This window comes from Homo sapiens, chromosome 10, assembly GCF_000001405.40.
Source record: "Homo sapiens chromosome 10, GRCh38.p14 Primary Assembly".
Taxonomy (NCBI): domain Eukaryota; kingdom Metazoa; phylum Chordata; class Mammalia; order Primates; family Hominidae; genus Homo; species Homo sapiens.
In genome coordinates, this window is record NC_000010.11 from 97663760 (window position 1) to 97677330 (window position 13571).

Genomic DNA, 13571 nt, shown 5'->3' on the forward strand with positions numbered 1-13571 from the left:
CAGTGAGCCAAGATCACACCATTGCATTCCAGCCCAGACGACAGAGCAAGACTCTGTCTCAAAAATTAAAAAAAAAAAAAAAAAAAAGAGACAGGGTCTTGCTCTGTTGCGCAGGCTGGAGTACAGTGGTGCTATCCTAGCTCACAGCAGCCTTGGACTCCTGGGCTCAAAGCAGTCCTCTCACCTCAGCCTCCTGAGTAGCTGGGACTACAGGCGCAAAAGTTGTTTAATGTTTTGTAGAGATGAGGTCTTGCTATGTTGCCCAGGGTGGGGTTTTCATTCCTTATAACTTTTTTACTTTCTCTAATAGTGGCTCTCAAATTTTGTGCCTGAATCTTCTGAAGAGTTATTTAAAATAGTACACAGATTCTTCAGGCCTTTCCCTTAGAAACTGATTCATCAGGTCTGGAGTAAAACTCAGGATTCTGCACATTTAATAAGGTATCTCAGGGGATTCAGATTCAGGCATCCTGGAACCACAGTTCTTGTTCCTGTGATGGCACCCATGAACCTGAAGCATGGAGCCACATAGTCAGTGATTGTCTCTGACATGGGCTGTCACAGGTGACATGCCCACTCTTTTTACATTCATCTCTTGTCCTTTTCCTTTTCATGCACCACTGAAGCAGGAGAACAGACTCCCTTGTGCAAGAGCAGCCAGCTGTTATCTTCCGAGGCTCTGTTTTCTCACTGGAAAATGTAGTTGTCACCAGTGAAGTAACATCTGAGTCAAGGTCCACACAAAAGGACCTTGGCCAACTGATATGGATTTTATTTCTTCTGTTCTGCTTTCAGGATTCTCATTTTCTTTCCCTAGGAGGAATGGCTTATAGTTATCTTTATTATTGTCATTTCCTTCTTACCAAGGACTGTAGCAACTCTTGGGGAAGTGTACCTTTTCTAAGATAAGAACAGGACTCTTGAACTTTGAACAAGAGCCAGGTCAGAGGCACCAAAATGTGCTAAGTTCAGATAACAACATGGAAGCCAGTTCAGAGAGTAGCTCAAGATAAGTTCAATAAGAATTCTTCTCTTGAGGGAGTTGGGATGAGTTGCTTTGCTACTAATTGGAAGGGCCTGAGGGAGATGGGTTTCCTCAGTCATTAGTCTTTCCTTGCTCTTCAGGACACAGACTGGGTGGTGGTGAAGGAGCCTGTTATCAAGGTGGCTGCCATAGACAATGGGCTGGCCTTCCCACTGAAGCATCCTGACTCCTGGAGGGCATGTAAGTCTCCAGACAATGGTGGTCTGGCTCTTCCCTTGCTCAGTATATTTTCTCACTGTGCAGTGGAGATGATAATGTCTCTATCATAGGATTATTCTAAAAATTAATGAAATAATGGAGTTCAGGCACTTTAACACAATGGCTGGCATATGGCAACTATTTCATAATGTAAGCTGTTTTTCTAATTTTTGTCTTCTATGATTCCCATTACAAGCATAAAGGTGATTAGAAATTAGAAGCATAAAGATGAGTTTTCTCATTGTCTCTTTGCATTCTTCTCGTTCTTTCTGAGGACTTTTTTTTTTTGGAAATGGAGTTTCGCTCTTGTTGCCCAGGCTAGAGTGCAATGGTGCGATCTGGGCCCACTGCAACCTCCACCTCCTGGGTTCAAGCGATTCTCCTGCCTCAACCTCCCAAGTAGCTGGGATTACAGGCATGCGCCACCACGCCCGGCTAATTTTGTATTTTTAGTAGAGACGGGGTTTCACCATGTTGGCCAGGCTGTTCTTGAACTCCTGACTTCAGGTGATCTGCCTGCCTCAGCCTCCCAAAATGCTGGGATTACAGGTGTGAGCCACTGCGCCTGGCTGAGGGCTATTTATTTTTTATTTATTTATTTTTTTTTTGAGACGGAGTCTTGCCCTGTCGCCCAGGCTGGAGTGCAGTGGCGCGATCTCGGCTCACTGCAACCTCCTCCTCCTGGGTTCACACCATTCTCCTGCCTCAGCCTCCCGAGTAGCTGGGACTACAGGCACCCGCCACCATGCCCAGCTAATTTTTGTATTTTTAGTAGAGACAGGGTTTCAGTGTGTTAGCCAAGATGATCTCAATCTCCTGACCTTGTGATCCACCCGCCTTGGCCTCCCAAAGTGCTGGGATTACAGGCATGAGCCACTGCGCCCGGCCCTTTTTTAATTTTTTAATTTGTTATTTTATTGTTTTAGTGTATATTTCCTGAAATATCTTTTTTTTTCCTGTTATCTGAGGACTGTCTTTCCATAATTTATTCTAATTGTGCCTCTAAATATAAGCTTCCTATCAGTGTTCTGTCTTCCTTGTTCCATCTCCTACCCTGTTGTAACTGAGAAGCTTCTGGAAAGGAGGAGAAATAAATGTAGGGAGTCAGTAGCCCCTTTTGCAGCATTAGTCTTCCTTTTCAGAAGGACCATCTCAGCGTCTCAGTGGCAAGTAGTTGCTTCTAGACCTTGCATCTTGGAAGGTCATGTAATGTCTGAGAATGAGCTCTGACATTAGGCAGCCCTGGGTTTGAACCCTGGTTCCTCTACTGACTAGCTGTGTAACCTTTACAGTTAAGAGCACTTGTAAGTTTTTGTTTCTGTTGTATGTCAGGGAAGAGGGGTTCTCCTTTAGAAAGTGCCTTGACTGGTGGAGGACACAGATGAGCAGGGACTTTTCCAACACCAGCTTTGCCTTTGACTTTTCCTCTTTTCAGATCCTTTTTACTGGGCCTGGTTGCCCCAGGCGAAAGTCCCATTTTCTCAGGAGATCAAAGATCTGATCCTTCCAAAGATATCGGACCCTAACTTCGTCAAGGACTTGGAAGAGGACCTATATGAACTCTTCAAGGTTAGCCCTGGGAACCTCAGCCCTATTATCATATGGGAGAAGGAATTTTTAATGGTTTTTTTAATTGGTCCTGACAAAAGCCAAGAGGAAATGGCTAACACCTTTCTGACTTGAGTTAGCCAACGAATAGCAAGATTTCCACATGTGGACAGCAGGACCTGGTTTGGATGGGTTTGAGAGAAATGGGCAGGGGTGAGAAATCACACTGATGTGTCTCTCCTGTCCATCATGTGGCTGCAATGTATCTGCAGGGCTTTCATTTTAATATGGAGCACTGGAGCCTAGAGTTTGAGATGCAGAGGAAGATATTGACTTGTTTTCTGTTTCCTCATCTGTAAAGCAGGGAGTTCTTGTGGGAGTAGTTGACTTCACAAAGCTGCAGAAGCCTTATGCAGGTTTTCCTTCTTAGAAAGTTTCTAACTGGGGGAGAAAATGGGTTCCTGTGAGGCATTCACACAGGTTCCATCTCCTTCTGGTCTTCTTTTGCAGAAAGATCCTGGTTTCGACAGGGGCCAGTTCCATAAGCAGATTGCTGTCATGCGGGGCCAGGTAAGCCTGGGACATCCTCCCAGTATCTTTGGCGTCTCTGGGAGTGTTGTGTGCTCAGGTTGAGCAAATGTTTGAAGTTTGTGTTTTATACCCCCCCCTTTTTTTTTGAGACCGAGTCTCACTCTGTCACCCAGGCTAAAGTGCAGTGGCATGATCTCTGCTCACTGCAACCTCCACCTCCCAGGTTCAAGCAATTCTTGTGCCTCAGCCTCCCAAGTAGCTAGGATTACAGGCGCATGTCACAACGCCCGGCTAATTTTTGCATTTTTAGTAGAGACAGGGTTTTACCATGTTGACCAGGCTGGTCTCGAACTCCTGACCTCAAGTGATGCACCTGCCTCTGCCTCCCAGAGTGCTGGGATTACAGGCGTGAGGCCCTGCGCCCGGCCGTGTTTTACAGCTTTTTTAAGTCCGTTGTGTACATTATTTTTGGCTGTACCTTAACACCTAGGAGAGGAAAAGTGGCCCTCCCAATTCTCCCACCTCTTCCCTGGTATCCAGTGCTTGTTGAAGCACTTAATGTGCACTCATCTCTATGCTAGTTGCTAGGTAATTCATTGGTAATTAAACTAATGCTCTCTGTCCTAGAGTTGCTCAAGGCAGGCTGTATGTTTTGGTGGTTAAGATCTGGGCCCTGGAGCCAGACTGCTTCACTACTTGGAAGCTCTGTGGCCTGGGGCAAAAGCCTCTGTTTTCTTGTTCATAAAACAGGATAGTAATAATACGTTGCACAGTTGGCTGGAGAATTTCATGAGATAATGCTTATCAAGCGTTTAGTAAAAAGAGTACTGGGCACATGAAGCACTCACATATTGATTATGGTTATAATTTTGTTGTTATAGGTGCAACTTACATTATTCCTTCTCCTTCCACTTCACCTTCAAAGGGAGCTAAGGAAACCAAGGGGATTGTTGATCTTCCAAAGCATAGTAAAGAAATGCTTGAAAAATGGTTTGAAAACTCTGTAGGGTACTGGTATTATGCCTATCACTTTGAAGTCTTCTTAAAGAGAGTTGGGATGACCTAGTGGTTAAGGGTGCAAACTGTGGTCACAGTGCCTGGGTTTTTGAAGCCTGGCTCTGCCATTTACTACCTGTGAGATTTTGGGCAAGTTACTTAATCTCTCCTTCCCTTAGTTTCCTCATGTTTAATGTGGGATCAATAATAGTAGCTGAGACCAGGCATGGTGGCTCACACTTGTAATCCCAGCACTTTGAGAGGCTTAGGTGGGCAGATCACTTGAGCTAAGGAGTTGGAGACCAGCCTGGGCAACATGGTGAAACCCCATCTCTACAAAAAACACAAAAATTAGCCATGTGTGGTGGCGCACGCCTGTAATCCCAGCTACTCAGGAGGCTGAGGTGGAAGGATTGCTTGGGCCTGGGAGGTCTAGGATGCAGTGAGCTGAGATGGCACCACTGCACTCCAGTCTAGGGGACAGAGTGAGAACCTGTCTCAAGATAATAATAATGGTACCCACCTTACAGAATTATTATGAGATAAATGATTTGAAACAGTTAGAGTAGTACCTGGTATACTAAAATACTCAATTTGTAGTATTAATAGCTGTTAGGATTATGATTTTTGTATACAGAAAATTCAGCTTCTCCCATCTTTAAAGGGCAAGAGGATCTTCTCAGCCTTAATTCTGCATTTACTTCTTCCTGCCATTTATCTAAAGACCTCTGATGACAGCACCTCCTGGGTTTGCTGAGCCCATTTTTCCCTGGAAGGGGGTTGGACAGAGGTTTTTTTTTTCTTTTGAGACAGAGTCTCACTCTGTCACCCAGGCTGGAGTGCAGTGGTGCGATCTTGGCTCACTGCAACCTTCACCTCCCAGGTTCAAGTGATTCTCCTGCCTCAGCCTCCCAAGTAGCTGGGATTACAGGTGCATGGCACCACACCTGGCTAATTTTTGTATTTTTAGTAGAGATGGGGTTTCACCATGTTGGCCAGGGTGGTCTCAAACTCCTGATCTCAGGTGATCTGCCTGCCTCGGCCTCCCAAAGTGCTGGGATTACAGGAGTGAGCCACTGAGCCCGGCCTGGACAGAGGTTTTAAGAACTACAATTATTGTAGCTGTCTGAATACCAGTAACATGGTATTCCTACATTTCCCAAGTAATGTAAGGGCCCAATTAGGCTGGCAGAATTTTTGGAAGCATTAAAAGCCATGTGATAGACTCAGATGTTATGGAACTCAGCATAAAGGAGTAAACTGGCTTCTCCAGTTGATATAGGCTGTGCCTCTGTCCGTATTGCAATGTCTTATCTAATTCCATCCCAGCTCAGTCCCTTGCCAACCCTTCTCCCATTACTCAGATAGTGCCATTATTCAGGATGGTAGGGAGGTTGGGGTAGTGCAGTTTTATTTATCTCCATCTTGTGCTCCTAATGTCTTCAGAGGAGCTTTTGGTATCTTGTAACCTAAAGTGCCTACTACCTTAGGGTGACCATCCAGCTCCTTCCAACATGTACATGGCCAGTATATCACTCATGTGCTTACTTGTCTACCATTCACACATCAAAGCAAAATGTGTGCACTACAAAATTTCTGCACTACAGAAATCTGACAAAGCACAGAGAAAAGAGGTCATAACCCTGTCTACATAGCTGAGCCATTATTGCAGGATGGGCTGTAGTACAAGGGCCCTGAGATGTAGGGAAAGAGTGAAGAGGCCCCACAGGGACACAGTCAGGTGATAGAAGTTGTTACTCAACTTAAAGGCTTCTCACCGGGAGTTAAAGAATCTAGGGTCTGAGAGAAAGCCTCTGTAACATTTTCTTTTTCTTTTCTTTTTTTTAAAGACAGGGTCATGCTCTGTCACCTAGGCTGGAGTGCAGTGGCCCAATTGTAGACCACTGCAGCTTTGAACTCCTAGGTTCAAGAAGTCCTCCCCCCTCAGCCTCCTGAGTAGCTGGGACCACAGGCATGCACCACCATTTCTGGGTAATTTTTTTTAAGAGGTGGGGTCTCGCTATGTTGCCCAGGCTGGTCTCAAACTCCTGGCCTCAAGCGATCCTCCTGCCTTGGCCTCCCAAGGTGCTGAAATTATAGGCATGTGCCACCACATCCAGCCCAACATTTTCAAAGATAGTATTTATTCTTTAGTATTATGTGACTGCTATAATTTTTCTTCAAATTTAAAAAATAATTTTTCTTTTTAAATTCTTTATTCTCCTTTCTTTTCAGTCCTGGTTCCAGGCTTATCTTCAGCTTTTTAATTTGGAAATTTTCAAACCTCAGTAAAGTTGAAAGAATGGGATCTTCTAGATTCTTCAGTTGTTATATTTAACCACATTTATCTCATATGTCTACGTATTATCCAGTGATGTATCTGAATAATATCTATTTAATTTCTCTCCCTAGATATTCTTTTTTGCCAAATCTTTTGAAAATAAGTAGTAGACAATTTGACATGTTTACCCCAGATACTCCCGCAATCTCCTTTTAGTTCTTCACCCCAATATTGTGCTTCAGACTATTTGGAACAGTGTAGGATGCTGGCAAGTACCAAAACAATTAAGTAAAAAAGAAATTTGTTACCAATAGGGTAACAAATGACCCCTGTTGCAGTTGTATCTCTGCTCCTTTATAGGCAGCAGTTGTGTAAGAGGATATTTGTGGCTTGAGGGCTGTGTGTCTGTGTGATTTCAGGGTGCAGCCTAGCTTACCCCTCCATGTTCTGTGACCTGGCCATGAAATCTTCAACATCTAGTGTTTTAAAGAAGATAGGGCCAGGCGTGGTGGCTCATGCCTGTAATCCGAGCACTTTGGGAGGCCGAGGCGGGTGGATCACCTGAGGTTGGGAGTTCGAGACCAGACTGACCAGCATGGAGAAACCCCATCTCTACTAAAAATACAAAATTAGCTGGGTGTGGTGGTGCATGCCTGTAATCCCAGCTACTCGGGAGGCTGAGGCAGGAGAATCGCTTGAACCCAGGAGGTGAAGGTTGCTGTGAGCCGAGATTGTGCCGTTGCACTCCAGCCTGGGCAAGAAGAGCGAAACTCCGTCTCAGAAAAAAAAAAAGAGAGAGAGAGAGAAGACAGGACACCTTCAGCTTTTGTACTCTCCTACCAGAGAAGATAAATGGTGGTGATACTAATTTTGACAAAGAGGAGAAACTGTGTCCTCATGGACACATAACTGAAATACCTGTAAAATACTGACAAAAGATGGTGAGGACTGGACTCAGTGGCTCATGCCTGTTATCCCAACACTTTGGGAGGCCAAATTGGGAGGGTCATTTGAGGCCAGAAGTTGGAGGGTGCAGTGAGCTATGAATGTGTCACTGTACTCCAGCTTGGGTGACAGAGTGAGACCCTGTCTCAGAAAAGAAAAAAAAAAATTAGGGGAAACTGGGCAAATGCTATATAGGAACTCTTTGTACAATCTGCAACTTTTCTCTAAATTTAAAATTATTCCAAAGTAAAACATTTATTTAAAAAAAAAGGTGATGAAGAGATAGTGTTAGAAGGAGAATCCAAATAAAATGTTGGCTTTTTACTTTTTGTTTGTTTGTTTGTTTGTTTTTTTGAGATGGAGTCTTGCTCATTTGCTTAGACTGGAGTGCAATGGCACAATCTCACCTCACTGAAACCTCCGCCTCCCGGGTTCACGTGATTCTCCCTCCTCAGCCTCCCCAGTAGCTGGGATTACAGGCACTCGCCATCATGCCCAGCTAATTTTTGTATTTTTGTAGAGATGGGGTTTCTCAAAATTTTTGTATTTTTGTAGAGACAGGCTGATCTCAAACTCCTGACCTCAGGTGACCCGCCCACTTCGGCCTCCCAAAGTGCTAGGATTACAGGCATGAGCTACCACGCCCAGCCAGCTTTTTACATTTTACATTTATATCATCTTTGTAGGAAAATCATAAAATAGGGATGAACAACAATAAATAATTAAAACCACCTATAATTTCTTTCTTTTTTTTTTTTGAGATGGAGTCTCGCTCTCTTGCCAGGCTGGAGTGCAGTGGCGCAGTCTTGGCTCACTGCAACCTCCACCTCCTGGGTTCAAGCGATTCTCCTGCCTCAGCCTCCCAAGTAGCTGGGATTACAGGCATGCGCCACCATGCCTGGCTAATTTTTGTATTTTTAGTAGATATGGGGTTTTACCATGTTGGCCAGGCTGGACTTGAACTCCTGACCTCGTGATCTGCCCACCTCGGCCTCCCAAAGTGCTGGGATTACAGACATGAGCCACTACGCCCGGACCAAAACCACCTATAATTTCTTGAGACCCAGAGATGACCACTGCCAACTGCCAGACTTTTTTCTACACTATAGTTAGATAGAAAGATAGAATTTAGAAAGTAAAAGTGGGGTCACAATCTAACACTGGTTCCTTTTCTGCTTTCCTTTGCATCTAACACAACATTGTGATCGCTTCTTTGCCAATACATTTATATATATATTTGATAGTTCCCTGGTTAAATTTCTATATATTTTAGGATAATTGTTTCTTATCCCTTCAAGTATTAACTAGTTTACATCTTTTCACTGTTATAAACAATATTACATTTGTTTTTGGAACTAAATGTTTTATGCATATCCATTAGTGTTTCTTAAAAATGGAATTGCCGAGTCAGAGGGTCTGTTCTTTTTTTTTTTTTTTTTTTTTTTTGAGACAGGGTCTTGCTCTGTTGCCCAGGCTGGAGTACGGTGACATGATCTCAGCTCACTGCAACCTCCACCTCCCAGGTTCAAGTGATTCTTATGCCCAGCCTCCCAAGCAGCTGGGATTACAGGTGTGCACCACCCCACCTGGCTAATTTTTTTGTATTTTTAGTAGATACAGAGTTTCACCATGTTGGCCAGGTTAGGATCTGTTCATTTTTAAGTGTTTTTTGTGTTTTTTTTTTTTCTTTTTGTTTTTTGAGATGGAGTCTCTCACTCTGTTACCCAGGCTGGAGTGCAGTGGCACGATCTCGGCTCACTGCAACCTCCGCCTCCCGGGTTCGAGCAATTCTCCTGCCTCAGCCTCCCCAGTAGTTGGGACTACAGGCGTGTGCCACCACGGTCGGCTAATTTTTTTTGGTATTTTTAGTAGAGATGGGGTTTCGCCATGTTGGCCAGGCTCGTCTGAAACTCCTGACCTCAAGTGATCTACCTGCCTCAGCCTCCCAAAGTGCTGGGATTACAGGCGTGAGCCAGCGTGCCTGGCAAGTATTTATTTTTTTGAATTCTCCCCAACTCTGCGTCGTTCTTTTGTATCTTTACTAACTGGAGGGCAAAAAAATAAAGGATTTGTTTTCATTTGTATTTTTTAAATGATTAGAGAGGTTTCCATTTTCTGTTTTGCTAATTTTTACTTTTGTAAATGGCCTATTTGCATGATTTTCCATTGGTATTTTAAAAAATTGATTTGTAGGCGTCCTCTCTACTGATCTCCTTTCAGAGGCAGATCTGGAATGCTGAGGCCTCTCCCTCACCCATCTCCTTTTTCCCACTGCAGATCTTAAATCTGACCCAGGCCTTGAAAGACAACAAGAGTCCCCTGCACCTCGTCCAGATGCCACCTGTGATTGTCGAGACGGCCCGTTCCCACCAGCGGTCTTCTAGCGAGTCCTACACACAGAGCTTTCAGAGCCGGAAGCCCTTCTTTTCATGGTGGTAGCTCCAGAGGCAGGCAGAGGAAATATTGTCAGAGACTGGTGGGAGGAAGCCTGGGGAGTGGGGTGCAGGAAAAGCCAGAGAAGCCGGTGGAGAGCAGCACCTTTAAGAGCCCTCTCTCTCTGCTTGCCACCCTGCTCAGAGCTTTCCACCCACAGGGAGAAGCACAATCAGGAACAGTGAGTGCTCCTCGCCCTTCTGATGTGGGGGAGGCTGGAGCTCCATGCACGTAGTCCAGATGCCTGGGAAGGAACATCTCCCTTCCAGCATCTGCTGGTAGCAGGCTGGGACAGTCCCTTCCTTCCCTGAAACCCTGCTCTATTGCAATTCCCTATTATATTCTGCATCAGAAAAACAAACAAAACAAAAACAACTTTAAATGCTTGTAGCAGAACCCCGGGTCATCTCATGTCAGAAACCTTTAATCCAGGCCTAAATTTGCATAGACCTGACATTCAGCTGCCTTGCAGTTGCTTCCTCCCATGAGCCAAGGTGGTGTCAGAGGGCAACTGGATGACTCGCAGTACCACAGCACTGGGACAGACAGAAGCCACACCTTTCTTTTGGGTTTTTGCCAAGCCTCCTCCATCTCCCATCAGTGCTGTGGGCTGGCTGCAAGCCTCGAAACAGTTCTCCTGGAAGGGAGGTTTTTGCTTTACCCCCGCCAGCACTTCCGCACACAATCATAGAGAACCTCTCTGCTCTCTGCTGGCCTACAGCTTGTCTGTTTCTCAAGCAGAGGCAGGAAGAGCTAGTCTTAGCATTTATATTTTAATAGGAAGTTGACTCCCAGCATGTAAAAGTGATCCACGCAGCCGGAGTGTATGCCGGGAGCTAAGTGGTCTATGGGTGAACATATCCCACCTTGCTTCCTGAGTCCTTGGTCCCAATCTTCTCATTTGTTCCTCTCGTTTTAAATTTTTTCCCCCCAACTCTTTTGATGTAAGAGTTCAGTTTGTCTTCGGGAGTGGGTCTCTGCAAGGGCTCTGGGATGAGTCTTGGCTTCCAAGAGGACAGGCTATTAGGTTCTTGGACTTTTTTCTGTGCTACCGCTGCTGCTTGGTGGAAGTAACAGGACGTGGATTCTGCCTCATAAGTGGCAGTTTCCCTTTTCTCTCTGACTTGTCCTAGGCCGATTTCTCTATGGCTTCCCTGAGAAAGGTGAGGCCCAAAGGAGAGAGGCCTTCAAACTGTCCCAGGTCCTGCGCAGCTCAGTGCGTATCTTCTTGCTTCCATGTGTCTTTTCCCCTGCTGCCTCACTCCCCACCCCCACTTGCCAGGTGTTTGAGCCATTTCTACACCAAAGCAAAGTACGGCCTCAGGAGGGAGTAAAAAGGGTGCCATCTGTGTCTGGAGGGGCAGCTGTGTTCATGCCCTGTGCTACTGGACATTTCACAATTCTGGCACCTTGCGATTGGTCAGTCAACCTCAGAAAGTAACTATCTTGAAGGTTTGAAAAACAACCAAAGAAAGGGAGTGAGGACTATGGCTGCATGTCCTCTGCTTGCCCGGCTGCAGAGCAGAGATGTGCAGCCCTCTGGTCAGCTGGTCCAGGCTGGTCCCCGCCGGTCCCCTTCCAGTCCAGCCACCAAGAGTCCACTTGTCCCGGGCTTCCACCTGGCTGACAGGAAGAATTTCTGAGAGCTGGATGTGCATGCCCTGTGGACGAAGGTACAGCTCGCCTGCCTGCCCCAATCCCAGCCCCGACAATCACATGCAGCTGACTCGGACACTGGCCTTGGGAACAATGTTCGAGAGAACACTTGCCCCTTGACTGTAGGAGCCAGAAGGGGACCCAGGTGTGCATAGCTCTCTGTAGACATTTTTACCCAAACCTGTTGGTAAAGTGCCCATCTGGTGCTCAAGAGAGCCTGGGGGTCTAACAGGGAGCCCGGCTGCCTCACCTGGCCACAGCCTCCACACCAGATCTCCACATTGTCTTGATCCAGACCAGCTCTGTGATCAGAAGGAAATTGGGTCCAGTGTAGGAGAGAGCTGGTCCTGGGCCTGGCAGGCAAGAGTGTGGGCATCCTTTCCTGGCCTTTCTCCACTCTCCCTCAAGCCTGTGCTCAGGTTGCCTTGAATGTGGACTCTGGAAGAGCCAGGGGCCCAGAATGCCGGGGGAGGCTTCTGAGTGGCACTCATGGAACACCGTCCCTCTGCCAGCCATAGGCCCTGCCTCCAGTGTCAGGGAATGGAGGCTGGGCTGCGAGAGTGTTGCTGCCCCCTGTGTCATTCTTCTAATCCAATGTAGAAATTGTACGTAATGTATTTAAATCAACGCAAATGTATGAATAACAAATACAGTTCTGACCTTTTTTGTCCAGTTTCTTTGGGGGAAGGAAGACAAAGAAGGTAGGAACGGAATTTTGAGGGCAAAGAAACCTGTGTTTCCATGGAATTGCTGAGACGTGGCTCCTGGGGCTATTTCTCCCTAATAAAGGATGATCCAGGTCCTCATTTCCAAAGTCCCAATGCTCTGAAAACCAAAAGTATTTTCATAACCCATTTGAAACCAAACCTGACCTGAACTTACACTGATAGGAAGCTATGGGTAATTATGATGTGTTCCTTTTAGTGTGATTCTTTGTTGCAGAAATGTCAATATATTTTATGACATGGTTCCCTACTAGGGATTATACAGTATTTGCTGACTACTTCCTAAGAGCCAAAAATAAAAAATCTGAATTCCAAAATAATCTAGTGCCAAGGGCTTGGGATAAGAAATGTGGACCTACAGGCTGGGTGCAGTGACTCACACCAGTAATCCCAGCACTTTGGGAGGCTGAGGTGGGTGAATTGCTTGAGGTCAGGAGTTTGAGACCAGCCTGGCCAACATGGCGAAACCTCGTCTCTACTAAAAATACAAAAATTAGCTGGGTGTGGTGGCACACGCCTGTAATCCCAGCTACTTGGGAGGCTGAGGCAGGAGAATCACTTGAACCCGGGAGTTGGAGGTTGCACTGAGCCGAGATTGCACCACTGCATTCCAGCCTGGAGTAAGACTTTGTCTCTCAGTAAATAAAAATAAATAAATAAATAAATAAACAATAAAATAAAAAAGAGGACCTACCTGACTCAAGGTAGTAGTGGTTCCTCCTCTTGGCCACCAGAGGGCAGCCCTGCCCTGTGTACATCACTGCCCCACTTCAAACCCTGAATAATCAAGCATATAGGGTGGGTGGAGAGGGAGAAGAAAGCTAATAAGCACAGAGTATGCCTCTCTTGAGGTGGAGCCAGAACTGTGGGAAAAACCCTGCCTTCAAGGGTTTCCAGGCCATGGGAAGCCTAGGATATAACGCAGGCAACTTCAGAATCATCAGTCCACCTTGGGATGGTCAGCCCATAAGGATGAAGAAACCAAATGAGGATCTGGCACCACTAGTTTGACTACAGATTAAGCCAGCCCAAGGCCTCAGCCTACTGTGCTGGGCTGACCATGACAGTCTTCCCCCTTCTCCTGATCCTATGGATCAGGACTGCTGCAGAGACTCCCCTCTTTACTCCCGATCCAACAGACTCTGGAAAAGGAGGCTGTGGTCCAGGGGCTCAGCATGGGGGTGAAAAAGGAGAGGGAGGTGAAAAGGAGAGA

The 13571-nt window shown here is 45.9% G+C and overlaps 1 protein-coding gene across 1 annotated transcript in view, besides 2 other annotated features; it reads left to right on the forward strand.

Annotated features, from left to right (window-relative positions):
• PI4K2A (phosphatidylinositol 4-kinase type 2 alpha) overlaps nucleotides 1-12675 on the forward strand; it is a 35764-nt gene extending 23089 nt beyond the window's left edge. The window contains exons 6-9 of the mRNA NM_018425.4: nucleotides 1126-1225; nucleotides 2679-2812; nucleotides 3302-3361; nucleotides 9822-12675. Of these exons, the coding sequence (NP_060895.1) occupies nucleotides 1126-1225; nucleotides 2679-2812; nucleotides 3302-3361; nucleotides 9822-9983 (456 nt within the window). The 3' untranslated portion in view covers nucleotides 9984-12675. The remainder of the gene's footprint in view (nucleotides 1-1125; nucleotides 1226-2678; nucleotides 2813-3301; nucleotides 3362-9821) is intronic.
• Nucleotides 12019-12518: an enhancer, noted in NCBI's record as "H3K27ac hESC enhancer chr10:99435535-99436034 (GRCh37/hg19 assembly coordinates)". NCBI's record gives its function as "activates a minimal SCP1, AML or CMV promoter by ChIP-STARR-seq in primed H9 embryonic stem cells {active_cell/tissue: H9 hESC(primed)}" and the evidence as "EXISTENCE:reporter gene assay evidence [ECO:0000049][PMID:30033119]".
• Nucleotides 13336-13405: an enhancer, noted in NCBI's record as "active region_3857". NCBI's record gives its function as "activates an Ori minimal core promoter by ATAC-STARR-seq in GM12878 lymphoblastoid cells {active_cell/tissue: GM12878}" and the evidence as "EXISTENCE:reporter gene assay evidence [ECO:0000049][PMID:35858748]".